This window comes from Homo sapiens, chromosome 1, assembly GCF_000001405.40.
Source record: "Homo sapiens chromosome 1, GRCh38.p14 Primary Assembly".
Classification (NCBI taxonomy): Eukaryota; Metazoa; Chordata; class Mammalia; order Primates; family Hominidae; genus Homo; species Homo sapiens.
Window position 1 is genome coordinate 235,545,582 of NC_000001.11, and position 27,982 is coordinate 235,573,563.

The 27,982-nt window shown below is 45.5% G+C and overlaps 1 protein-coding gene across 6 annotated transcripts in view, besides 2 other annotated features; it reads right to left on the reverse strand.

Annotated features, from left to right (window-relative positions):
* Positions 324 to 824: an enhancer, noted in NCBI's record as "H3K4me1 hESC enhancer chr1:235709205-235709705 (GRCh37/hg19 assembly coordinates)". NCBI's record gives its function as "activates a minimal SCP1, AML or CMV promoter by ChIP-STARR-seq in primed H9 embryonic stem cells {active_cell/tissue: H9 hESC(primed)}" and the evidence as "EXISTENCE:reporter gene assay evidence [ECO:0000049][PMID:30033119]".
* The window catches only part of GNG4 (G protein subunit gamma 4), a 102,924-nt gene continuing 77,045 nt past the window's right edge, over positions 2,104 to 27,982 (reverse strand). For all 6 annotated transcript variants that reach the window (NM_004485.4, NM_001098721.2, NM_001098722.2 and 3 more), the window contains one exon: positions 2,104 to 6,656. In NM_004485.4, coding sequence (NP_004476.1) covers positions 6,528 to 6,656 — 129 coding nt within the window. In that variant the 3' untranslated portion in view covers positions 2,104 to 6,527. The remainder of the gene's footprint in view (positions 6,657 to 27,982) is intronic.
* Positions 20,417 to 20,918: an enhancer, noted in NCBI's record as "NANOG hESC enhancer chr1:235729298-235729799 (GRCh37/hg19 assembly coordinates)". NCBI's record gives its function as "activates a minimal SCP1, AML or CMV promoter by ChIP-STARR-seq in naive H9 embryonic stem cells {active_cell/tissue: H9 hESC(naive)}" and the evidence as "EXISTENCE:reporter gene assay evidence [ECO:0000049][PMID:30033119]".

Below are 27,982 nucleotides of genomic sequence, written 5' to 3' on the forward strand. Positions count from 1 at the left end.
AAGCAAGTTGTGAGGGTTTTCCTAGAAACCAGATGGAATGCAGGATGGTACTAGTGTGTCCCTGTTTTGTCCACACATCAACAAAAGCATTAAAACTGGGCAGACGCCCAGCTCATCCTCCACCTCTGCTGCTCTGGGCCTACATCCTGGGGACGGCGGAGCAGTGCGCCACCCAGGAGATGTGGCTGGAAGCTGGGGAGTAGAGGGCATCCTCTGATCTTTCATGAAAACAGCCCATGGCAGTGCACGGTGGCTCCCACCTGTAATCCCAGTGCTTGGGAGGCAGAGGTGGGAGGATTGCTTGAGCCCAGGAGTTCGAGACTAACCCAGGCAACATAGTGAGACCCTGTCTCTACAAAAAAATAAAAAAAAGTTAGCCTGGCATGGTGGCATGCACCTGTAGTCCCAGCTACTCAGGAGGCTGAGGCTGGAGGATTGCTTGAGCCCAGGAGCTCGAGGCTGCAGTGAGCTGTGATGGCGTCACTGCACTCTGGCCTGCACAACAGGGCGAGATCCCATCTCAAGAAACAAAAAACAAAAAACAAAAAAAACCCGCCCATGATCTGGCGTCTTACCCCCCGAAGAGCTGAGGAGATGTAAGTGTGAATAATTCTGTCTAATGGATTGCTATCATCCACGTTCTTCTCAGTGTTAAGAACAGAGGTCCCAATCCAGACCCCAAGAGAGGGTTCTTGGATCTCATGCAAGAGAGAATTCAGGGCCAGTCCACAGTGCAAAGTGAAATAAACTTGCTTTATTAAGAAAGTAAAGGAATAAGAGAATGGCTACTCCATAGACAGAGCAGCCCCGAGGGCTGCTGGTTGCCCATTTTTATGGTTATTTCTTGAGTATATGCTAAACAAGGGGTGGATTATTCATGCTTCCCCTTTTTAGACCATATAGGGTAACTTCCTGATGTTGCCATGGCATTTGTAAACTGTCACGGTGCTGACGGCAGTGTAGCACTGAGGACAACCAGAGAGGTCACTCTTGCGGCCGTCTTGGCTTTGCTAGGATTTAGCCAGCTTCTTTACTGCAAACTGTTTTATCAGCAAGGTCTTTACAACCTGTATTTTGTGCTGACCTCCTATCTCATCCTGTGACTTAGAATGCCTTAACCGCCTGGGAATGCAGCCCAGTAGGTTTCAGCCTCATTTTACCCAGCCCCTATTCAAGATGGAGTTTTTGGTTCACATGCCTCTGACATCAGATCAATGTTGCTTGTTATTACTCTTATTATTGTCATCTCAAATCTGAAGAGTCACCAGAACAAACTTCCTTCTGCCCTTTGGTTTGCTCCCTCCCCTGGCTCCCAGCAGCAGGGGGGCTGCTGACAATTCACAGATTAGTAGTTGACTTCCATGGGGGCTGGAGCTCAGGATCAGAGGCAAGCCCTTTTGACTCATGGTCGTGGGGTCCCAGCGTGAAGCTGCTCTGTGATTGCCCTGGAACTCAACATGTCAGAGCTGCCACAGGGAGATGGCAGAGGCTGCTTGGTAGCTGAGAACAAGGGAGACGCCCTGGGAGATGCTCAGAAACAATCCGAGGTTCAGAAGCAGGGCCAGAGCCCCCAGGGATGTGAGCAGAGTGGAAGGAGCAAGGCATGGCCATCAGTATTCCGGCCCCAGTGTATTAATACCTACGGGCTGGGCGACCTGGGCATCTGAGCTTGCATTCAGAGGTGTCATAGGAGAGCCCCCTGGGGCCTGTGCTGCGGCTCCCTCCCCAACGGTGGTGTCTGATGATAGGGTTTTGCAGCAGGCTATCTCCTCCATCCATTCCTGATGGTCAGAAGGCAGGAGAGCCTGAGAGGACAACATCTCTGCCATCAAGTGGGAACTCGCAGTGGGATTCCTCACTGTCTTCCCAAAAGACACAATTTCCACAGCATTTGCGCATCTTGTTCACAGGGCCCTACCTGTGTGGTGCTGATGGCTTATTCTCCATCCAGATAGCCGAGGATCGTAGTTTGTATTTTAAAATGATGTCAAGCATGCTCTTAAAATGCCCCACTAGCGATGTTAGTTATCATTAATGTAATGTTAATGATATCCAAAGAGGAGTAAAAATTTGAGCAAAGTGCCAAAAAAGTAGGATTCTTGATTGCTAGTCACAAAGCCCAACTTTTTATTGAAGTATAACATACACACAGAAAAGTGCCCAGATCAAAAGTGTACAGCTCCAAGAATGTTCACAAACGGAAAGCACCCAGGTAACCGGCAACCAGATCAAGAAACAGAACACCCCAGAAGCACCACCTCATGCCCGCTTCTGGTTACTGTCTTCTTAGGACTGATCTCTACTTGCAACCGCATGGATGAATTTTGCTGGGTTTTAAACTTTATATAAATGGAATCCTATGGTGCATTTTTGCCTTATCTCGTTCAACACTAGGGTTGGTGAATACACTCCAAGTTGGGGGTGGAGTTGCAGCTCATTCCCATTGCAGTCTGGGATTCCATCGTGTGAATATACCCTAATGTGCTTATCCAGCCAACATGGGCATTGGGGTGCTTTCCTGTTCGGGGTTATTATGGAGAGTGTTTTTGTGAAGATTTAGAGCATGTCTCTGGATGAACACATGTACACATTTCTGTAGGGTATACACCTAGGGGTGGAATTGTTAGGTCATATATATTTACATCCAACTCAAGCTCTTTCATGAAAGAAGAAAGAATGTACTGGATGGAGTTTGCTGGCTCAAAGAATTGACAGAAAACTAGAAGGGAGGTCTGTAGGAAGATAGGTGGAGGCGGAGACAGCTCAGCGAGTCCAAGGAGTGGAGCAGAAATGACATTCCCAGGACGCTGCCATCCCTGGACATTGCTACCAGTGGACACACCATCCCTGCAGCCTGCCAGCCCTACCCACCTGCCTTGCTGTATGACTACCAACCCCGGACCACGGTGGCTTCCTTGAAATGAGTCTCAGCATCCCTTCATTTGTGTCACATTCTCCAGGCTCATAGCCCCAAGCAAGGGTCCAGGTAGTCCACCCCAGGTCAATGACCACTTCCCGACTGGTATGGGGCTGGAAGCGGGGTGTGCCTGAGAGACAGGAAATACTTCCCTTCTTCAGCTTCCACGGTGGGTACTGCACACCACTAAGTTTATATCTAAGGCATGATGTCCCTGCTGTAGGAAGGGAGGGGAGATGCTGGACAGTTAAGCTGAAAACACAAAAATGACAACTGTCCCCACAGCTGCACTCCACAATGCAAGCAGGCTTTATTCCATTCATCTTCCACTGACAGAGTGGGGGAGCTCAGTGACATGTCTGTGGATCTCACAGCTCATGTGCAGAAATCTCCATCTAAGAAGAGGGAACTAGGCCAGGCGCGGTGGCTCATGCCTGTAATCCCAGCACTTTGGGAGGCCAAGGCGGGCGGATCACTTGAGGTCTGGGCTTCAAGACCAGCGTGGCCAACATGGTGAAACTCCGTCTCTACTAAAAATACAAAAATTAGCCGGGTGTGGTGGCGGGCGCCTGCAATCCCAGCTCCTCGTGAGGTTGAGGCACAAGAATCGCTTGAACCCAGGAGGCAGAGGTTGCAGTGAGCCAAGATTGCGCTACTGCACTCCAGCCTGGACGACAGAAAGAGACTCTGTCTCAAAAACAAAAACAAAAACAAAAAAAGAAGAGGCAGCTGGATTCAGGATCACTCTAGGAAGGGTGACCCGTCCCCAAATGCCATAGGTCTGGAAGAGGTGCAGTAAAAGGACAGAAAAGCATCTCACAGGGGAAGGTAAGGAAGAGAGGAGGAAAAGGAAAAGGAGAGAGAACAAAACGGAGGCTGAATCTGGAGGGACGGGGCATGTAAAAACAACAGGGAGAAGGTTTGGTGGAAGAGGAAAGCAGCATTTTTCTGACCTGATTTTGATGCTCTCTGTACGGCCCCGCTTTCTCGGCTTCTCTGATGTGCCTTTATGACTTGTGCTTCGCTTCATCGGGTTAATGATGTTGACGTGAAGCACAGAATAAAGAGATCCTGGTCATAACTGCACTATCAAAGGATCTGAGGTCCTAGCGTCACATCCAGCATACAATTCTGCTCTAGTTTGAGCATCTTAACAACACTGGTATTATTAGTGAGCTGATAATGAAACTAAGAATGAGTTTTAACAAAAGAAGCAAGGAACAAAGATGTCCTAAATCCATTTACGAGGGCAGCAAGTCATTAATTGGTCTGGAAATTACATTTGCCTCTTTGCAGGCAATTTTATGCCTCCAACGGAACCATGGTCTCTTTGAAGTCATCCATTCTTCCCTATATTATACCACGGCATTTAGTACATTTATTTGTTTTAAATGATAATCAGAGCTTTCATCTATGTAGCATCTCTGTTTCCTCCCAGACAGAAAGGCAGGATAATTACCATTAAACCCAATTTGCAGGTTAGAACATTTCAGGCACAAATGGCCTGTTCTCTATCACACAGCAAGTCTCTTTCAGAACTAGGGAGAGAGGCAGTTTCCAAATAAACAGAATAGAACAAACTTACACAAAGAGCTCTGCTCCCACTGTGTATTCTCCTCTTTCATCGGGATCATATGAGTTTGGTTTAGGTAGGACCTTCAGGTTGATCTTAGACAATCCAAGAGCTAATTCATCGATGTCTAGCCTTTCCTTGGGGCATCCATGAATCACCTTCCTTAAACTACCAGAATACGGCTTCCTCCTGGAGAATGTGGGAAGTGAAGTGTGCCACGGGTTACTGCAACAAAGGTGTTTGCTTCACGGTGTGCAGTTATGATAGTTTGTGGGTCTCCCTACCTGCAAACAGGTAGACCTGGAAGGTAGCACAGTTCAGGGGGCTAAGGGAACTCTGGGGCCGGGCTGCCTGCCCTCAAATCCCAGTTTTTCTGCTTACCATGTGTAACCTTGGGCAAACTACATAAACGCTTTGTGCCTCAGTTTCCCCTCACTCTAAGACATACGGCCGGGTGCACTGGCTCACACCTGCAATCCCAGCACTTTGGGAGGCCAAGGTGGGCAGATCACTCGAGGCCAGTAGTTGGAGACCAGCCTGGCCGACATGGTGAAACCCCGTCTCTACTAAAAATACAAAAATGAGCCAGGCATGTTGGCGTGTGCTTGTCATCCCAGCTACTAGGGAGGCTGAGACATGAGGATCACTTGAACCTGCGAGTGGAGGTTGCGGTGAGCTGAGATTGTGCCATTGCATTCCAGCCCGGGCGACAGAGCAAGACTCTGTCTCAAAAAGATAAATAAATAAAATAAAACAGACATGCACTTATGGTATTTATTGTTGGAAGATTGAGTACCTTAATGCACACCAATGCTCAGATGACTTGGGGGCACATAGGGGACTGCTGTCACCATGCCTCACTCCTGCAGGGAAGGGGCTGCCCTACTAAAACCCCAGCGGGCCCAGTGCTGTGTCCAGAACAGGTCCTTATATTACTGCAGCCCACAATGGAACTACTGAGTAGGAGCCAAAAGAGGAGGGAGCAGGAAGAGGTGGCATTTGGAGAGGGGAGACCGCACCCACAGGTCTGCCACAGCGCGTCAACGGTATGGGGTACTTTTACAGTCAAGTTGACTTCGGTGTCCGCCCACCATCTACCTTTGTAGGACCACTGAAACAAGGGACATCCACCACGGCCCACAGCCGGGGCGCCACGGCCCCAGGAGGATATGCTAAGAAAACCATTCCACGGCCGGGTGTGGTGGCTCACGCCTGTAATCCCAGCGCTTTGGGAGGCCGAGGCGGGTGGATCACGAGGTCAGGAGTTTGAGACCAGCCTGACCAACATGGTGAAACCCCGTCTTTACTAAAAATACAAAAAATTAGCTGGGTGTGGTGGCGCGTGCCTATGATCCCAGCTACTCAGGAGGCTGAGGCAGGAGAATCGCTTGAACCCAGGAGGTGGAGGTCGCAGTGAGCTGAGGTCACGCCATTGCACTCCAGCCTGGGTGACAGAGCGAGACTCCATCTCAAAACAACAACAACAACAAAAAAAAAACAAAAGAAAACCATTCCAATCCTGTGGGTTGTTGTCTTTTTACTAGGATGATGGAAATGCAGGAAATACAGAACCTCTGCAGCTGCTTTCTCCAGGAAAGGAGATGAAAACGTTATATGTTTCAGTTGGTCAAAATGCTCTAATTTGATACTGAATATTGCAAATAAGGGATATTTAGGCATAGTTTTTTTTTTAAAATAAATTATCCACTGAAATGTATTAATATGATATAAACTTGGAAACTGATGTTTAAAAATTTTAAACTCTTAAGTCCAGACTTACTTTTACATGGCACATTTGTTATTTGGCTATAAACATTTTGATTTTCTTTGCCAATAATGAAAATAACATGAAAATGAAAAGGAAAAAAATGAAATTGAATGCCACGAAGAAAACAGATGGAAACATAAGACAAGCCCCGGCCACTGTTGGCTGGGCAGGGATGGGTGTTGGTCTCACTCCCTAAGGCTTAGAGCATGCATGGTCTCTACAGGGGACTTTGAAGGTCAGAAAAGGAGGCGTTTTCATCACACACGGAGTTAGAGAATGGTACAAAAGAACTTCTTCTCGCGAAAGGGGTTTTCTGATGCAGGCACTGGAATGATGAGAGGATCTTCCCGCACGTGAGCTTCACAGTAGGCCAGGAGGTCCGCAGCTGCCTGGGAGACCTGTGAGGGCACAGAGCACAGGTGCTCAGTTAAAGGCCCCTTTGCAGAGTGAGTCCAGGGAAGAGGTGTCCACGTACAGAGGGGACAAGCCCTAGGGTAGGCTGTATTGTGTGCACGGCCTACAACATGGTCATGCCCAGGCTGGAGGGAGGGTTTGTGCAGATCTAGGAGACTGGTTCGAAGCGGGCCTCCAAGAAGGGGAGGCTGCCCTCGCATGGCAGGCCAGCATGGAGACAGGACTGAGGGCTGGCAGGAGGCCCAGACAGCCTTGATATATTCTCGAGTAGGTGAGGAGTGGAGGTTCCAGGACAGTAGTCTCACAATGACTTTGCTAAACCGTTTCTGGAAGACTAAAGCAGAAGGCAGCCCCTGGCCAAGCCAGTGTGATCATATTTATTATCATTATTAGTTGTTTTATTGCAATCCACTCTTGTGACCAACACAGAGAGACACTTCATCCTCCTCAACAGAACTTGTATTTAGCTATATTTTATAAGCACACGTTTTATTTTTATTCATTTTTCATTTTTATTTCTTTTTTTGAGGCAGAGTCTCGCTCTGTTGCCCAGGCTAGAGTGTGGTGGCGTGATCTCCGCTCACTGCAACCTCCATCTCCTGGGTTCAAGTGATGCTCCTGCCTCAGTCTCCCAAGTAGCTGAGATTACAGGCACTCACCATGCCCAGCTAATTTTTGTATTTTTAGTAGAGATGGGGTTTCACTATGTTGGCCAGGCTGGTCTCAAACTCCTGACCTCAGGTGATCTGCCCACCTCGGCTTCCCAAAGTGCTGGGATTACAGGCATGAGCCACCGTGCCCAGCCAGCACACATGTTTTAACTTGGAGTGGCCACTTCCCTGCGGAGAGAGGTGCTCCTGACCAGAAAGTTCTTTCCATTCCATTTCTTTCCAGGCTTATCTGAAGCCTGCTGGCGCATGGCAGTTGTGCATCAAACTGTCCCCAAGCTCAAGGCCAGAGGAAGAGCAGGTTGGGAGAGGGCGGGGTGCGGACAAGCATTTGCTAAGAGGGAGAGGCAGTTACCAGCTTATTTTGTTCATGGTCTGTGTCATGTGCTTGGCAGATAAATGGCCTGTGCATTAACTCATCCTGCCAATTAGGCTGTTCTGCCTGCGAGTATTTATTAGCGGATTACAGGCAGGGGTAAATACATAGCAGTCAAATGAAATCCTTTTAGTACATTCAATGTCTAAATCTTCCCCAGAATGATAAAAATGTTCCACAGATGAAGAAAAAAAATGTTTAGAAGCCTCCAGCTACACAGGCCATACACATTCCCTTCTGGGTTTTAAAAATTGGCTCATCTTTCAGCATTTTACAGAGATTCTTCTGATTTTCAGACCTAACCGCTTTAGCAATGGCTAGAAATAATTCCAGCAGAGATATACAATGAATCAACTAAACACATCACTCAAATAAATCAACTTGAAGTTTAGCAGATGAGTTAGTCTAAATCCTGACAAAACCTACATTTGTTAAGAATGTGGCATGGAGAAATGAGTTCCGGTGAACATCAGGCTTCTAGATCTACCCCCGCCCGTAAGCTAGCTGTGTGACCTTGGGTAAGCAGCTCAACCTTTCTGAGCTTCACTTCCCTCATTTGTAAAATTCAGGAGCGTTGGAGAGCTCTAAGGTCCCAATTTACTCTAAGACGTCTATGATTCTACCTTTAATAGCATGGTCAGTATTTAAGATCCTAAAAACGTGTATGTTGAGTTGAATAGGAGTGTTTGAAGTTTGCAGTGGGTTACAGGACGCCCATATAGGAATTTCCCAGATGGGTGAGGCTCAGGGGAAAACTGAGCCTGTGGGGGGCCTGTGAAGCCATCACAAGGAGCAGGAGCACAGGCTTAAGGAAATGGACTCTGAGGCCCACAGGGCTGCGATGGACACACAAGAGAATGGAATCACATGGTGAGTGCTGCAACTCAAAGCCGGTGGACTTGGGAGATTGAGCCCTCCCTTGCTGCCACCTTCTAAGGAAAGCCAAGTGCCCTCCCCAACTGCTGGAGTGATGACCTCCTTAGTTTCCACTCCTGGCTTCTCACCATGCCCAGAGATGCAGAAGCTGCTGAGGTCTGGGGTCTCCCTCATGGCCACCATGTTAGGACAGCCACTAAATTCATCCATTGACCCCTCTGGCAACCCCTGGGCAGTGGTCTTCACTGCTGCCTGGGCAGCACACACAAGGGCTGCAGTGTTGGAACAACCACATTCCTCCTCTAGGAGCCACTGTCCTCTTGGGTTTGCTAAGTCTAGGCCCCTGACTCCAGTGAGCTCTTCTGGGAGTTCCGTTTAAGAATGGCTCGGCTGGACGCAGTGGCTCACACCTGTAATCCCAGCACTTTGGGAGGCCAAGGCGGGTGGATCGCCTGAGGTCAGGAGTTCAAGACCAGCCTGGCCAACATGGTGAAACCCCGTCTCTACAAAAAATACAAAAAATTAGCCAGGCGTGGTGGCGGGTGCCTGTAATCCCAGCTACTCAGGAGGCTGAGGCAGGAGAATCGCTTGAACTCGGGAGTTGGAAGTTGCAATGAGCTGAGATTGTGCCACTGCACTCCAGTCTGGGCAACAAGAGTGAAACTCCATCTCAAAAAAAAAAAAAAAAAAAAAGAACGTCTCGTCTGACTATCATGCCCTCTCCAGTTTTCTAGTTTTCACTTTTCCCATCTACTTCATTTTTTTTGGACATGCTCCAGTTTCATCTGAATTCTCTATAATCCTCGTTATGTCATTCAGAAAGGAAGTATTCACTATCTACCCTTTAGCTAATTCAGAGGATGCAAGAGAAAGAATAAGGCAACAGTTTTGCCCTCTAGAAGATCTCACTGTGATCTCAAACATGATGAAGTCACTATAATAATCCATGTGTGCTGAAATGTCACAAAAGAACACTTGCACGCCACTGTGGATCCATGATGAGAGGCCAGGAGACGGGGCATCTGACAACCTGTCCAGTCCCAGACAGTAGAGGACACCTTGGTGAATCTGCCCCCTTTCTTCAGAGGGCAATCACTGGACTTCTGGGCCCAGAAACACAATTTCCTGGCACACTCAGAATAGATCATCTCTTGTGGCTGACCCATATTAAACAAGCTCAGGAGGCAGCTGGATAAAACCATAATACAAATAGAAGCTAACATTTACATTTACTGAGTGCTTCTCAGGTGCCAGCACTATGCTACATGCATCAGATGTATTATGTCATTTAATTCTTCTTATACGTACGACTCTAGCCTGGGCAACATAACAAGACTCTACCATAAAATGAAAAAATTAGCCAGGCATGATAGTGCACACCGGCAGTCCCAGCTACTTGGGAGGCTGAGGCAGGGACATCGCTTGAGTCCGGGAGTTCAAGGCTGCAGTGAGCTGTGATCGCACCACTGCACACCAGCCTGGGTGGCAGAGCAAGACCCTGTCTCTAAAAAAAAAAAAAAAAAGTAGAATTCCTTATTTATAATTGACAAATAAAAATGGAATATATTTATGGTGTACAACATGATGTTTTGATACGTGTATACATTATAGAATGGCTAAATCAAGCTAACTGACATATCTATTACCTCACATACTTTTTTTGTGGTTAAAAACATAAAATTTACTCTTTTAGCAATTTTCTTTTTTCTTTTGAGATGGAGTCTCACTCTGCCATCCAGACTGGAGTGCAGTAGGGCGATCTCAGCTCACTGTAACCTCTGCCTCCTGGTTTCAAACAGTTTTCCTGCCTCAGCCTTCTAGTAGCTGGGGTTACAGGCTCCTGCCACCATGCCTGGCTAATTTTTAAATTTTTGGTAGAGATGGGGTTTCTCCATGTTGGCCGGGCTGGTCTCGAACTCCTGACCTCAGGTGATCTGCCCGCCTCGGCCTCTCAAAGTGCTGGGATTACAGGCATGAGCCTCTGAGTCTGGCAAGCAATTTTCAAGTACACATGATAAGTATTATCTTAAAGCCACTTTACAGATGAGGAAACTGAGGCACAAAGGTTAAGAAGGTCACCCATCTATTAAGAGAGGAAACCAGGGCCGGGCACGGTGGCTCACGGACTGTAATCCCAGCACTTTGGGGGGCCGAGGCAGGCAGATCACAAAATCAGGAGCTCAAGAACATCCTGGCCAACATGGTGAAACCCCGTCTCTACTAAAAATACAAAATTTAGCTGGGCGTGGTGGCCCATGCCTGTAATCCCAGCTACTCGGGAGGCTGAGGCAGGAGAATTGCTTGAACCAGGGAGTCAGAGGTTGCAGTGAGCTGAGGTCGCGCCACTGCACTCCAGCCTGGCGACAGAGTGAGACTCTGTCTCAAAAAAAAAAAAAAAAAAAAAAGAGACAGCCAGAATTTGAAGCTAAGCTGTACTGTACTACAGCCGTCCCCAACGTTTTCGGCACGAGGGAGTGGTTTCGTGGAAGACAGTTTTTCCATGAACTGGGGGTGGGGGGATGGTTTCAGGAGGATTCAAGTGCATTAGATTTATCGTACACTTTATTTCTGTTATTATTACATTGTAATACATAATGAAATAATTATATACAATTCACCATAATGCAGAATCAATGGGAGGCCTGAGCTTGTTTTTCTGCAACTAGATGGTCCCATTTGGAGGTGATGGGAGACAGTGACAGATAATCAGACACAGGATTCTCATAAGGAGCTTGCAACCTAGATCCCTCACACGCGCAGTTCACAATTGGGTTTGTGCTCCTGTAAGAATCTAATGCCGCTGCTGATCTCACAGGAGGCAGAGCTCAAGCGGTAATGCAACCAATGGGGAGCACCTGTAAATACAGATGAAGCTTTGCTTGCTCACCCGCTGCTCACTTCCTGCTGTGCGGCCCGGTTCCTAACAGGCCACAGACTGGTACTGGTCCATGGCCCGGCGGTTGGGGACCCGTTTTATACTACACAGAATCTACACTCGATACAGAATCTATAATCTACACTGTATACAGAATCTATACTCAGCCGCTATACTACAGCAGCTGCTTTGTTAATTGACAATGAGACCCGTAATTCTCAAGTGGCCTGGAACATTCTCACCTGCCCATCCATCCAGTGCACACGAGGAGAGATCCTTGTGGTTCAACTACCTGGGAGCTCACAGGACCAGAAGAAGGAGAGTCTCCCACCTAGAGTGTCTTAGGTCATTTCGTTTAACCTAGAGACAGGAGGTGTCCTCAGCTGGGACTCACCCCCTTTCCCCCCGGCCCTGAGAAGTACAGGATGGACACAGCCACTGTGGTCTCCAAGACACCCCTTCCTCTAGGCTGTGACCCGCCAATCCCCTTCTGTCTACACATACAATCCAGCTGGTCAGAAGTTGGCTGGCTAAACTGTCACGATAGCTCTCTTCCCATTGATCAGTTTACCTGTCCCGGTGGTTATCAACATCCATCATGGGCCAGTTCGACTCTTTTAATTCTCTAGGAGCAACCTCAAGGGGGCGCCTCACTGGGGAAGCTGCACTATCAACCAGTACATCCTGTACATCATGACCAAGCATTAAAGGAGTGGGCTCAAAAAATGTCGGGGCTTCGGGGGACAGCTCAGTCGAGGAGAAGTCAGGTTGGGCCCATGTTCCACTCCATAGCAGAGTAACTTCTTCCCTTACAGCCCAGTGTCTGCAACACCCTAACAATTATGCTATTAATGGTCTGGCCTTGCCAGGTCTAAGCAGGTCTCACCTAGGAATTTTTCTCTCACCTCCCAAAGGTGATACTGTACCTGATGCCACAATTTTTCTTGCAAGAAAACGAGTTGTTCTTAGATTGCCTCCTTTTGTTGCTTTAAGATCACAGTTGCGTTTGCTGAGTTATAACCACTCCTCTGGCTTGCTGAGTCCTGTCTGTGCACCCATACAACAGGAATGCACACACAATGAAGCCAGTATTACTGCCGATCAAGAAGTGCTCAGTTTAAGCCCGAATGTGTGGATCTGGGTTGGTTCCGTGAAACATTAATTTCCTAGGTGCACTCAGAATTACTGAAATGTAACACTGTGAAGAATGGCCCACTTACGCACAGCTGCATCTAATACAGCATAAGTCATCTTACAGCAAAATAGTCAAGGGAGTTTTCCACCTTCATCACCCCGTCTTTTCACATAGCGTCCAGAGTCCTATATAACCTTTATAACCAAAGTATCTTGGGTAACCCCTGAAGTTTATTGTTAATGTGATCTGAAAAGATAAATATAGGTAATGACCGTCTAAATGAGCCTGACACATGAAAGGTGGCGTCCCAACAAATAGCTCAGTATCCAGGTATTAATTAACCTGAGTCTGCTCCTTCCGCTGAGAGGGAGAGTTTTCTTAATCAGCCCTAGATTGATGTTTATGGTTGGAGGTTTCCTTCAACACGTACCAAATAGGGGTTGCAGACAACGCCAGATCCCATTAAACATCTGCCATCTTTGGAACATAAAGTAGACAATTTGCTTTCAAAGAGAAAATCTTATTCTGGTAGAAAATTGCAAATTCCTTTACTGTGTATCCTTTCTCATCAAGCCTGAATTCGGCTTTCCCTCAAGTTCACTGTGATGAAATGCCTGGAGCATCTCTGTGCCTCCCCGTCTTAGTATTGAACTGTTAGAGTTACAAGACAACAGATGTTGAAAAGAATTGGTAGCTTGGGAACAACTGTGGAATTTTACCATCACATTTCAGAGTAAAAGAGGTGATTAAGGCAGCCCAAGTTAGCACGTAATCCTGTTAGTTGCACTATAATTACAAGCTTCAATGATGGGAGAAAATGCCGCAATTACTATAGTCACATTCCATGACAAGACAGATGACATAATTATTATTGTGGCTGTGACACCCACTGCATTTATCCTTTGCATCTGAAGTAGACAGACCCACACCTATTTCTAAGCAACGCTGGTCTATTTAACAGTACTACTGGGAATCAAAAGCATCTTGGTTGGCTTTGCCTGTTTCTCCTACTCCAAGAAAACAAAGCAGGATTACAGTTAATGGTACAGCCAGGTTGCAGCCAGCATGGTGTAACGGTATATTTTACAAGGTCTATAATGGTATATTTTTACACGGTGAAATTTGGTGCACACTCCACTAGAAGATATCATATACTGCTTATCCTCAGTGGGATCCTGGGGACATTACAGGTATATACCTCACCTTTAAATTCTCAGAAAGCACTGCAGGGTGAACTCTTGTGCTTTTTTTTTTCTCCTAACATTGGGAAGTATTTGAGACCCACACACCAGTTCCTAAGGGCAGTCTCTAGATACTTTCATATTATGGCTTTCAGAGGATCCCAGTAACTACTTCGTACTATTCCTGGTCAGTGTGGGCAATTCTTACTTGTTGGCGGATGGCCTGTGTGGGGAGAGGCTTCCGCCCTGTGGGTGGGTCCTAGGCCACAGGCAACATCAAGCTTAGAGTGGGTTAGGTTATACCTGAAGGTGGAAACCAGAGAGAGGAGGGTGGGTGATATGTGTGAATAAAAGAATAATTCAACAGAGTCCGTCTCTGAACCCTTAAGTCAAATGTCCATAGCAGCAGACTAGCCACTGTTAACTACTTTCAGCATAGGCTTTTTTTCCACATCAAAAGTTGATTGCACATTGGGAGCTAAATCTAAGATGCTTGAAAGAGAGTTGTAATATCACCAAATTAACTTAAGTAAGAGTTGTTCTGACATGGCCTTCAGCACAGGAATATCAAAGCCCTCACTTGTTTAGAATATGATTGACCTAGATCCACCCTGGACCTTGACTTAACCAAGCCCGTTCAACAGGTCAGTGTTTGTCCCATCTGACTGACTATCTCTCAGTTTTGATATTTCCCAAATTTCCAAAAAGAAATCCATAATTCCATCACTTTGCAAGTTTGCCATGCTGGATAAGATGGACACTCCAGGCACTCAGCTTTGACTCCTGTAAACGAGAACGGCAACACCTGCTGGTTTGTGGCTAAATGGATGCCATCATATATTGCCGTGGTTTGAAAGTGCTGTCTCCCAAAAGCATGTTCTGGAAACAATGCGAGCATGTTAGGAGGTGAGGCCTAATGAGAAGTTATTAGGTGATGAGGGCTCTGTTCTCATGAATGGATTAATGCTGTTATCATGGGAATGGGCTCCTTATAAAAGGATGGGTTTGGCCCCTTTTTTCTCTCTCTGCCTCTCTCCTTGCCCTTCCGCCATCTGCTGTGGGGTGACACTGCAAGTAGCCCCTCACCAGAGGTAGCCCTTTCCCAGCCCCCAGAACTATGAGTTAATAAATTTCTGTGCATCATAAATTACCCAGTCTGTGGTATTCTGTTACAGCAGCACAAGCCAACTGAAACATAAGCACATGGGGTTATTAATCCATTATTCATTTGGCTACTTTCTAGTAGGACAGAGAAGATACTTGAGAAACAGACACGAAGAAGTTTCTCAGAAATTATTAGGGCATTGGATGCCCACAATGGCCCTGACCAGATCATCCCCATGAATAGAAGAGATCCCTTTCTAAGTGCAACTTTCATTTTCTTCTTCTACTACTCATGTTCTACTCTTTCATTTAATCCGAAGCATTTTCCCCTTTTATCTGATCCCAGTTCTAGAACTGCTCATCCTAATAACCTTTCCTCAATATGGCCAGATTTTTGGATTTTAGCCATTCTAATAGGTGTGTAGTGGTATCTTATTGTTTTAATTTGTAATTCTCTAGTGACATGATGTTGAACATGTTTTCATACGCTTATTTTCCATTTGTATGTCATCTTTTGTGATGTGTCTGATCAGAAATTTTGCCCTTTTCTTTTTTCTTTTGAGACGGAGTCTCACTCTGTCGCCAGGCTGCAGTGCAGTGGCGCCATCTCGGCTCACTGCAAGCTCCACCTCACGGGTTCAAGACATTCTCCTGCCTCAGCCTCCCGAGTAGCTGGGACTACAGGCGCCTGCCACCACGGCCGGCTAATTTTTTGTATTTTTAGTAGAGACGGGGTTTCACCGTGTTAGCCAGCATGGTCTCGATCTCCTGACCTCGTGATCCGCCCACCTCGGCCTCCCAAAGTGTTGGGATTACAGGTGTGAGCCACCGCGCCCGGCCATTTTGCCCATTTTTTAATGTGGTTGGTTGTTTTCTCATTGTTGTGTTTTAAGGGTTCTCTCTCTCTTGCTCTCTTGCACGCGCTCGCGCTCTCTCTCTCTATATATATACATTTTTTTTTTCTAGACGAGTCTTGCTCTGCCACCCGGCTGGACTGCAGTGGTGCAACCTCCACCTCTGGGGTTCAAGTGATCTCCCACCTCAGCTTCCTGAGTGGCTGGGATTGCAGGCACCTGCCACCATGCCTAGCTAATTTTTGTATTTTTAGTAGAGATGGGGTTTCACCATATTGGCCAGGCTGGTTTCAAACTCCTGACCTCAGGTGATCTGCCTGCCTCAGCCTCCCAACGTGCTGGGATTACAGGCGAGAGCCACCGCACTTGGCCCTTTATATATTTTGGATACAAGTCTTTTATCAGGCATGTGTTTGACAAATATTTTCTCCCAGCGTGTGGCTTGTGTTCATTCCCTTAACAGTGCTTTTCACTGAAGTCTTAAATTTTACTGTAATCTAGCTTGTCTACTTTTTTCTTTGATGGATTGTGCTTTTGCTGTTGTATCTAAAAACTCTTTGCCAAACCCAAGGTCACTTAGATTTCCTATGTCATCTTCTAGAAGTTCTGTAGTGTACTCTTTTATATTTATGTCTATAATTTATTTTGAGTTAATTTTTATAAAATGTAAAAGGTCTGTGTCTAGATTCATTTTCTGCATGTGGATGTTCAGTTGTTCTTACAGTATTTGTTGAAAAGACTATCTTTGCTTCATGGTATTGGCTTTGCACCTTTGTCAAAGATCAGCTGGCTATATTTACATGGGTCTATTTTGGGGCTCTCTATTCTGTTCCACTGACCTACACGTCTACTCTTTCACCAATACCACATTGTCTTAATTACTGTAGTTTTATAGTAAGTCTTTCAGTCAGGTAGTGTCGGTTCTCCAACTTTGTTCTTCTCCTTCAGTATTTTATTGGCTATTCTGGGTCTTTTGGCTTTCCATATAAACTTTAAAATCATTTTGTCAATATCCACAAGATAAGATTTGCTGGGATTTTGGGGTGGGGCACAGCAGCTCATGCCTGTAATCCCAGCACTTTGGGAGGTCGAGGCAGGTGGATCACTTGAGGTCAGGAGTTCAAGACCAGCCTGGCCAATATGGCGAAACCCCATCTCTACTAAAAATACAAAAATTAGCTGCTGGGCATGGTGGGCCTGTAATCCCAACTACTCAGGAGGCTGAGGCAGGAGAGTTGCTTGAATCTGGGAGGCAGAGGTTGCAGAGAGCCAAGATGGCACCACTGCACTCCAGCTTGGGCAACAGAGCAAGGCTCTGTCTCAAGAAAAAAAAAAAGAAAAAAAAAAAAAGAAAAAAAAAAAAGAAGAAAATTTGCTGGGATTCTGATTGGGATCACATTGAATCTACAGATCAAGTTGGGAAAAACTGCTATTTTAACTATATTGAGTCTTCTTATCCATGAACATGGACTATCTCTCCATTTATTTAGATGTTTGATTTTTTCCTCAGAGTTTTGTAGTTTTCCTCATATAGATCTTGTGCATATTGAATATATCTGATATATTTTTGCCCATCTTTTTACATTCAACCTGAGTCACTTTATTTTAGGTCTATGTCTAATGCAAAATATATTCTTTTTAAAGGTTAAATCTGATAATCTAAATTAGTTTTCCCACTTAACACTTATTATTAAGATAGATGTATTTGGTATTGTTTCTGCTGTCTTATTTTGTCTTTTGAAACTTTTACATTCTCTTTTGTTTTCTGTTGATGTTCCATGGTCTTTATTTCTTGTACTCCAGTAATTAAGAAGTATAGGCCAGGCGTGATGGCTCATGCCTGTAATCCCAGCACTTTGGGAGGCTGAGGTGGGCGGGTCACTTAAGGTCAGGAGTTTGAGACCAGCCTGGCCAACATAGTGAAACCCCATCTCTACTAAAATTACAAAAATTAGCCGGGCGTAGCGGTGCGCACCTGTAGTCCCAGCTACTTGGGATTGCTTGAACCCAGAGGCAGAGGTTGCAGTGAGCAGAGATCGCCCCACGGCATTCCAGCCTGGACAACAGAGTGAAACTGTCTCAAAAAAAAAAAAAAAAAAAAAAAAAAAAAGCGTTTTATCTTTATAGCCTTAATATGTTTATAATGTTAATCAATTTCAGAAATGAAGTTATATTGATTGATTCACATCTATGAAATATGAGGAAATTGGCTATACTGGACAATTATCATGCATGTTTTCCCCCAGCAACTGAACCCCTTCTCTGGTTGGAGGAATGATCTACTTTATGAGTCCTCGTGTGGGGAAACAATTATTTCTCTTAATAGATCTGAAAATGTTAAATACTCACCTTCCCAGAATCTTGCAACTTGGCACATGTGACTTTGTTTCTGTCTATCTGACACACATGTGCCAGACTTTGGTGAATGATCTGAGGGAAAAGACATTAGGAGCTTTTGTTCTGGTGGCAGTGGTCCTGACTAGAAGGTTGAGTTCCTGGCTCAGAGTGATAGTGGTATAAACTGTAGCATGTAGTGCTGGGTGGTGATTGCAGCAGTTCCTTCCTCAGACTGTTCTGCAGTGTGGTTTTGAGTGCTGTTCCCAGAAGATGAATCTTAAGCCCACTTCTCTAGACTTTCCAGCAATTTTATAAGCTATTCAAAATCCCTTTAATAAATTCCTTTTATAATCAACCTAGATGCTTACCAACAGTGGACTGGATAAGAAAATGTAGTATATATACACCATGAAATACAATGCAGCTATAAAAATGAATGAAATTGTGTCCTTTGCAGCAGTATGAATACAGCTGGCGGCCATTATCCTAATTGAATTAATGCAGGAACAGAAAACCAAATGCCACACGTTCTCATTTATAACTGGGAGCTAAATATTGAGTACACATGGTCACAAAGATGGGAATAGGAGACACCAGGAACGAGAGACACACTACTTGAGGGGTGATGGGGGGAGGAAGGTAAGGGCTGAAAAACTACCTGTTGGGTACTATGCTGACTACCTGGGGGATGAAATCACTGGTGCACCAAACCCTACTGACATCCAATTTACCCACTTAACAAACTTGCACATGTACCCCTTGAAACTAAAATTAAAGTTGAAACTAACCAACTAACTAAATTCCTTTTATGTTTACTCAGCCAGGGTAAGCTTCTGTTATTTGTAATAAAGACTCTTGGACTGACAGGTTGCCATATTTATACTCTCCTCTCTTCTCCCTCCCCTATTTTAATGTAAGTATTTTCTAGGATTGTCATAGTCTACTACTGACAAATATTTATTTTTACATCATATAGATTTCTGAGAAGAATGATAAAAATTACATTTTTTTAAGAGTGGTCATCATAGTTATTATTATTTTTTTTAGACAGAGTCTAGCTCTGTTGCCCAGGCTGGAGTGCAGTGGCACAATCTCAGCTCACTGCAACCTCTGCCTCCCGGGTTCAAGCGATTCTTCTGCCTCAGCCCCCCGAGTAGCTGGGACCACAGGCGTGTGCCTCCACGCCCGGCTTATTTTGGTATTCTTAGTAGAGATGGGGTTTCACCATGTTGGCCAGGATGGTCTTGATCTCTTGACCTGTGATCCGCCCACCTTGGCCTCCCAAAATGCTGGGATTACAGGCGTGAGCCACAGCGCCCAGCCAGTTATTCTTAATTCTAAGTTTACATTGATTGAATAACCCTGCAACTTCTTTCCTACCATGCCATCCCCGTGTGGAAGTTATTTCGATTCAGTCAGCTGGCTGGATCCCATGTTACACACATGTATGTGCAGAGTCCAGAGGAGGCAGGAGACCACTCGGGCCATGGTGCTGGCAAGAATCCTGAACAGGAAGGTCGTCTCTGAGCAAGTCAGAGGCTAAAGAAAGAGGGTGGCAGTTGGCCCAGCGCAGTGGCATGCCTGTAATCCCAGCAATTTGGGAGGCCGAGGTGGGCGGATCACCTGAGGTCAGGAGTTCGAAACCAGCCTGGCCAACATGGTGAAACCCCATCTCTACTAAAAATACAAAAATTAGCCGGGCATGGTGGTGATGGGCGCCTGTAATCCCAACTACTCAGGAGGCTGATGCAGGAGAATCACTTGAACCCAGGAGGAGGAGGCTGCAGTGAGCCGAGATCGTGCCACTGCACTCTAGCCTGGGCTTGTGACAGAGTGAGACTCTGTTTCAAAAAACAAACAAACAAGCAACAACAACAAAAAACACAATATGGCAGTGACTAGAAGATCCCCAAAGGTCCTGGGAATAAAGAACAACCACAATGGGCTGGTGCAAGCTCTTCGTCAGGCTCCCAAGGTGAGAGAATTGCTTGAGCTCAGGAGTTGAGAGCAGTCTGGCAAACATAGCGAGACCCCCGTCTCTATTAAATTTTTTTTCAATTAGCTGGACATGGTGGTATGTGCCTACTTAGGTTTGCTTAGGTTTGACAGCTTCTCAGGGTGGAACTTTTGAAATACGAGGCAGTAGACTGCCCAGTCGTTCCTATGGAGTTCATCATCAGCCTCACAGGTGACCTAGTGTTCTTTTTGGGGCAGCTGCTGATGTTTGTGCATTCCATGAGCTGACACAGAGGGACAGAGGTCCCTTTTACCATTTGGTATCTTCAGTCAATGGAGTAAGAAAGTTGTCTGATACCCAAATCTGAAGGCTATTAAGAGTGAGAATTGAGAATCTGACTCTATCACACTGATAAAGAATTGAGCAGAATTCTAGGACTGAATATTGACCCAGAAACTATAACTTGGCAGAGAGCATTTGAATCCCAGTGATAGACTTTGGAGGCAGATCACCTTTGGAGAGTGGTGACTCACACTGATGTCTCCATGGTGAGTGAAATCGTGAGTGTTCTGTCTTTCAACAGTGCTCTAAACAGGGGTCTCCAACCCCCTGCCAGGGACCAGTACCAGTCCATGGCCTGTTAGGAAGCAGGCTGCACAGCAGGAGGTGAGCGGCCAGCGAGTGAGCATTACCGCCTGAGCTCCGCCTCCTGTCAGATCAGCGGAGGCCTTAGATTCCCATAGGAGCGTGAACCCTATTGTCAACTGCGCATGCAAGGAATCTAGCTTGCATGCTCCTTATGAGAACCTAATGCCTGATGATCTGTCACTGTCTCCCAACACCTGTCCTGTCTAGTTGCAGGAAAACAAGCTTAGGGCTTCCACTGATTCTACATTATGGTGAGTATGTAATAATAATAGCAATAAAGTGCATAATAAATGTAATGCTTGAATCATCCCCAAACCGTCCCCCATGACCTGTGGAAAAACTGTCTCCCATGAAACCAGTTCCTAGTGCCAAAAAGGGTGGGGACCGCTGCTCTAAAAGATAGGAGAGACTGAGGAAAATGGCGGTGCTATCTAATGAGAACGGGGATGCTACCAGTGCTGAAGATCTGGGTGTGAGTGGTGCCTTGACAAGTGCTATGAAGGATGCATCAAGCCCAGTCTCATACAGACTCAGAGGGAATGCTAATATTCATCTGATGGACATGAAGCCCTCTAGCACAGCAGGTCCAACAGCACGAAGACTTGTTGGTTCTGAATGCTCTATAGCGATGGAAGCTGGATTTGGAGATAACTTTGTCTTGAAAGCAGTTTTTTTAAAGTATTATTATTATTATTGAAATAAAGTCTTGCTCTGTTGCCCTGGCTGGAGTGCAGTGGTGAGATCATAACTCAAAGCAGCCTCTGTCTTCTGGGCTCAAGTGATCCTCCCACCTCAGCCTCCTAAGTAGGCACATACCACCATGTCCAGCTAATTAAAAAAAAAAAATTTAGTAGAGATGTGGTCTCGCTATGTTTCCCAGACTGGTCTCAAACTCCTGAGCTCAAGCAATTCTCCCACCTTGGCCTCCCAAAGTGCCAGGATTACAGACTTGAGCCACTGCACCCGGCATAAAAAAATGTTTAATTATAGGACTATATGTTTATACAAATATATGTGTACATATATACACATATATGTGTATTTCTATAAAACATACATGACATCAAATGCATCGTCTTAACTATTTTTAAGTATATAGTTCAGTAGTATTAAGTATTTTCACATTCTTGTGCAACTATCAGTACCATCCGTCTCCAGAACTTGCAAAACTGAAACTCTGTTTCCATTAAACAACCCTCCATTCTCTCCTTCCCCCAGGCCCTGGAGAACACCATTCTCCTGTCTGTTTCTATGAATTTGACTCCTCTAGGTACCTCATATAGGTGGAACACAATATTTTGTCTTTTTGTGCCTGGCTTATTTCTCTTAGCATAGTGTCCTCAAGGTTCATTCATGTTGTCCCACATGTCTGAGTTTCCTTCCTGTTTAAGGCTGAATAATTTTCTGTTTTAAGTATACACTACATTTTGTTTATCCATTTATCTGTTGATAGACATTTAGGTAGCTTCTATGCCTTGGCTATTGTGAATAAACTGCTATTAATATGGATGTACAGATCTCTCTTCAAGACCCTACTTCCAATTCTTTTGAGTCTATTCATAGGTGATACATGGATTGTCTCACCCGATCCCATTTCTATAATATTGATTTGGGCTCTGTGGAATCCTGATAAATAAGCAACAATGAGGAAGGGGTCCCAGGTTGGGGAGAACAATTGTTCTGAGAGACGGCTAACCACAAACAGGCCCTTGCACAACATCCTGTTCCCTCACTCTGCACGTAGCCCCAGCAGCAGGACTGTAACTGCACGAACCCCCTCCAGCATGACCCTATAAAGCTTCCTTCCAGCCCCTGCCTTTTTGGAGACAGTCCCTTTTCTGCTGTGCTGCCCGTTGCTTCCTTGCAACATACTTTCCTTCTAATAAATCTGCTTTTTTTTTTTTAAACCTATGACTGCCTTGGCAAATTCCTTTAGCACTCATGATCCCCGCTCTAGTCATCACACCTGCAACAGGCCCTGCATCAAAACAGGTGACTGAGCTGTTCCAAGTACATCAAGCCCATCCTTCAGTGCCTTCAATGCCTCCTATGACTCAGATTGTGTGTGGATCCAGCCATGTGCAAGACCCTCAGCCCCTGCTCGGGAAGACCTTTTGACTGAGCAGGCATTTTCTCAGCTTTCTTATGGTCTTAATGTATATTATCATGTGTAAATTAACATAATTATGCACATCTGTATCTCCTTTAGTGAAATTCAATGGAATAAAATAAAATAAGTTTGCTAAAGAAAAGCAGCACATATTTGCATTACATTTAAACTTCTGCATAATTGAGAATATATCTATGTTGCCATGGACATAAATGGCCACTTGGTTGGGTAGAGAATTCATTGTAGATGCTGTTTCTCCTTGGGCTGACATCTTCAGAACTGTGGGGAAGTGTTGTCCAGACTGATATTTTCCTCCTTTGTGGGTGAGGCACTGTAGTGTAATGATAGTACCCAAGGTTCTGGGTTTGTATCCTTCCTTCATCAAATGACAACTCTGGACCTCTTTTCTTTTTCTTTCCTTTTTTTTTTTCTTTTTTTCTTCTCTTTTCTTCTTTTCTTTTCTCTTTTTTGAGATGGAGTCTTGCTCTGTTGTCCAGGCTGGAGTGCAGTGGTGTGATCCCGGCTCACTGAAACCTTCTCCGCCTAGGTTCAAGCAATTCTCCTGCCTCAGCCACCCAAGTAGCTGGGACTACAGGTGCTCACCACCAAGCCCGGCTAATTTTTGTATTTTTAGTAGAGATGGAGTTTCACCATGCTGGCCAGGCTGGTCTTAAACTTCTGACCTCTTCTGATCCTCCTGCCTTGGCTTCCCAAAGTGCTGGGACAACAGGTGTGAGCCACTGCACCTGGCCTGGGCCTGTTTTCTTGTCTGTGAAATGGGGTACTGATAGCACCAACATCTCAGGGCTGGTGTGAAAATTCAAGCACCTAACACATATTAAGAATGTACCAAGGCTGGGTGTGGGGGCTCACGCCTGTAATCCTAGCACTCTGGGAGGCCAAGGCGAGTGGATTGTTTGAGCTCAGGAGTTAGAGACCGCCTGGGCAACATGGCAAAACCTAGTCTTAGCTATTTGGGAGGCTGAAGTGGGAGGATAGCTCGAGCCGGGAAGGCGGAAGCTGCAGTGAGCCAAGATCACGACACTGCACTCCAGCCTGGGTGACAGAGGGAGACCGTGTCTCAAAAAAAAAAAAAGAATGTAATCAAAGTTAGGGGTATTTGTCCTAACTGACTGCTTCTTCTGCCTATATTCTTTTTTTTTTGTTGTTTTAAGATGGAATTTTGCTCTTGTTGCCCAGGCTGGAGTGCAATGGCACGATCTTGGCTCACTAGATTCCTCATGACCTCTTTCCTTGTTTACTGAAGCAGTGTTTGAACGCCTCCCAGGTTCAAGCGATTCTCCCACCTCAGCCTCCCGAGTAGCTGGGATTACAGGCGCCCACCACTACGCCCAGCTCATTTTTGTATTTTCAGTAGACAGGGTTTTACCACATTGGCCAGGCTGGTCTCGAACTCCTGACCTCAGGTGATCCGTCCGCCTCGGCCTCCCAAAGTGCTGGGATAACAGGTGCGAGCCACTGCGCCTGGCCTCTTCTGCCTATATTCTTAATGGGCTCTTTATTATTAGTATTGCTTTTGTTTTGCTTTTTGCTATTGACTTATTTGTTGATGGAGAGATCACTCTTTCCTTTTGAGATTAAGACCCTCAGCTGTATTTGTGTCTGTGTCGATCATTTCTCTCACACTCTTTTCTGGAATACGGCAAGCAGTTTGGACCTGCAGATTCAGGTCTTCCTTTATTTAATGAAGCTGTTTTATGTTATATCCTGAAGAGTATTTTCTATTCCATTTATTCTCTCTGCCAGGAATATTCGCATACAAATGTGAGAATGCTCTTGTCAGTCTGGATTTCTATCAGCTTCTAATTGCTTCGGTCTGACACTCCATCTGTTTCTTTTGTTTCCTGTGCACCTTCCTGAGGCCTGTCTCCAGGTCATCACTGTGGCTTTCCACAGCATGTGTGCCACTCTCCACTCTTTCCAGTGGTGCTCCCACCTCCCTCCAATTCTTTCCTTAGCTTTTCCACCTCCCTTTCCAACTCGTTAGTTTCACCTCTTCTTTTTTTTTTTTTTTTTTTTGAGACGGAGTTTCACTCCGTCACTCAGGCTAGAGTGCAATGGCATGACCTTGGCTCACTGCAACCTCCGCCTCCCGGGTTCAAGCGATTCTCCTGCCTCAGCCTCCCGAGTAGCTGGGATTACAGGTGCCCGCCATCATGCCCAGCTAATTTTTGTATCTTTAGTAGAGACAGGGTTTCACTATGTTGGTCAGGCTGGTCTCGAACTCCTGACCTCAGGTGATCCACTCCCCCTCTCAGCCTCCCAAAGTGCTGGGATTACAGGCATGAGCACCGCACCCAGTCTAAATAAATTTTTAAAAGACAGGGTCTCACTCTGTCATCCAGGCTCGAGTGCAGCGCCGCAATCTCGGCTCTCTGCAACCTCAACCTCCCAGGTTTAGGTGATCCTCCCACATCAGCCTCTAGCTAGGTACATGCTACCATATCCAGCTAATTATATATATATATGTGTGTGTGTGTGTGTGTATATGTATGTATATATGTGTGTGTGTGTATACATATATATATACACACACACACACACACACACATATATATATACATACCTTTTTTTTTTTTTTTTTTTGAAGAGATAGGGTTTTGCCATGTTGCCTAGGCTGGTTTCAAGCTCCTGTGCTCAGGCAAACCTCCTGCCTTGGCCTCCCAAAGTGCTGGAATTACAGGTGTGAGTCACTGTGCTGGCCTTAAAATATTCTACAATACTACAATAGAAAATTGGGTAAACGGTAGGAATAGCCAATTAGCAAAAGAAGAATTTAACATACAAAATTAGTTTAACCCCAGTAACAGTCAATGAAATGTATGTTAAAATAACGAGGCGTCAGCAATCAAGAGATGGTATGACATAAAGGTTGAGAGCGAAGGCTCTGGAGACACACTCCCTGGTTTCCTATCCCTGGGCTCTCATCACTTTTCAGCTGCTGAATTTTAGGCAAGTTAATGAATCTTCATAGACCTCAGTTTCCTCCTTCATATAACAGAGTACCCACTTCATTGGACTGCTGTGAGAATTGAATGAATTTAATGTGACTTGTTCAGAACAACGCGTATTAAGCACTCAGTAAATGTTGGCCGCTATTATTATCATCTGTTACATTTGCATGGCATAATGAATGGTGTTTGGGGGGAGAATGTGGGAAAACACACACATTACTGATAAAAATATAAATTGGTATCCCTTTCTATAGGGAAATTTGATATTGACTCAAACACTTTCTTGTGTATACAGTCATGTGTCGCTTAATGACGGGGATATGTTCTGAGAAATGCCTTGTTAGATGATTTCATCACTGTAAGAACATCACAGAGTGTACTTCTACAAACCTAGATGGTCTATCCTATTACACAATAGGGTATAGCCTATAGATTACAGGGTATAGCCTATTGCTCCTAGGCTACAAACTTTTTAAATGTTAATTAATTAACTAATTAATTATTTTGAGACAGGGTCTCACTCTCTCATCCAGGCTGGAGTGCAGTGGCAGGATCAGGGCTCACTGCAGCCTCAACTCCTGGGCTCAAGCAATCCTCCTGCCTCAGCCTCCCAAGTAGCTGGGACTACAGGTGTGCACCACATCCAGCTTACTTTTTTGAATTTTTAGTAGAGACAGGATCTCACTATGTTGCCCAGCCTGGTTTCAAACTCCTGAGCTCAAGTGATCCTCCTGCCTTGGCCTCCCAAAGTGCTAGGATTACAGAAATGTGACTGTACTGAATACTGTAGGCAACTGTCACACAATGGTAAGTATCTGTGTATCTAAACAGCTAAACAGAAAAGGTAAGGTAAAAATACAGTACTAGATATCTTTTTTTTGAGATGGAGTCTCGCTCTGATGTGCAGTGGCACCATCTCGGCTCACTGTAACCTCTGCCTCCCGGGTTCAAGCGATTCTCTTGCCTCAGCCTCCCAAGTAGCTGGAATTACAGGCGCTCGCTACCACGCCTGGCTAATTTTCATATTCTTAGTAGAGACGGGGTTTCACCATCTTGGCCAGGCTGGTCTCAAACTCCTGACCTCAGGTGATCCACCCACCTTGGCCTCACAAAGTGCTGGGATTACAGGCATGAGCCACCGTGCTCTTTTTTTTTTTTCTTTTTTTTTTTGAGACAGAGTCTAGCTCTGTCGCCCAGGCTGGAGTGAGGTGGTATGTTCTCAGCTCACTGCAACCTCTGCCTCCTGGGTTCAAGCAATTCTCATGCCTCAGCCCCCTGAGAAGCTGGGACTACAGGTGCGCCACCATGCCCAGCTAATTTTTGTACGTTTAGTAGAGACAGGGTTTCGCCATGTTTCCCAGGCTGGTCTTGAACTCCTGACCTCAAGTGATCTACCCACCTCGGCCTCCCAAAGTGCTGGGATTACAGGCGTGAGCCACCATGCCGGGTCAAAAAATATACACTACTAGAATCTTATGGGACCACCGTCATATATGCAGTCTGTCGCTGACTAAAACAGTTTTTATGTAGTGCCTGACAGTATATATCTCTCTTTTGGCCAAGAGATTTTCAGTCCTTAGGAATTTATCTTAAAGAAATAATCAGACATGAAAATTTTATCTACCAGTATGCTTGCTGCAGTGCTTCCTTAAAAGTAGGACTCACAACACATGCACATGTATGTTTATTGTGGCACTATTCACAATAGCAAAGACTTGGAACCAACCCAAATGTCCATCAATGATAGACTGGATTAAGAAAATGTGGCACATATACACCATGGAATACTATGCAGCCATAAAAAAGGATGAGTTCATGTCCTTTGTAGGGACATGGATGAAGCTGGAAACCATCATTCTGAGCAAACTATCGCAAGGACAGAAAACCAAACGCCGCATGTTCTCACTCATAGGTGGGAATTGAACAATATCGCTTGGGCACAGGATAGGGAACATCACACACCGGGGCCTGTCAAGGGGTGGGGGGAGGGGGGAGGGATAGCATTAGGAGAAATGCCTAATGTAAATGACGAGTTAATGGGTGCAGCACACCAAATATGGCACACGTATACATATGTAACAAACCTGCATGTTGTGTACATGTACCCTAGAACTTAAAGTATGATAAAAAAAAAAATAGGACTCACGGCCCGGTGCGGTAGCTCACACCTGTAATCCCAACACTTTGGGAGGCCGAGGTGGGCGGATCACGAAG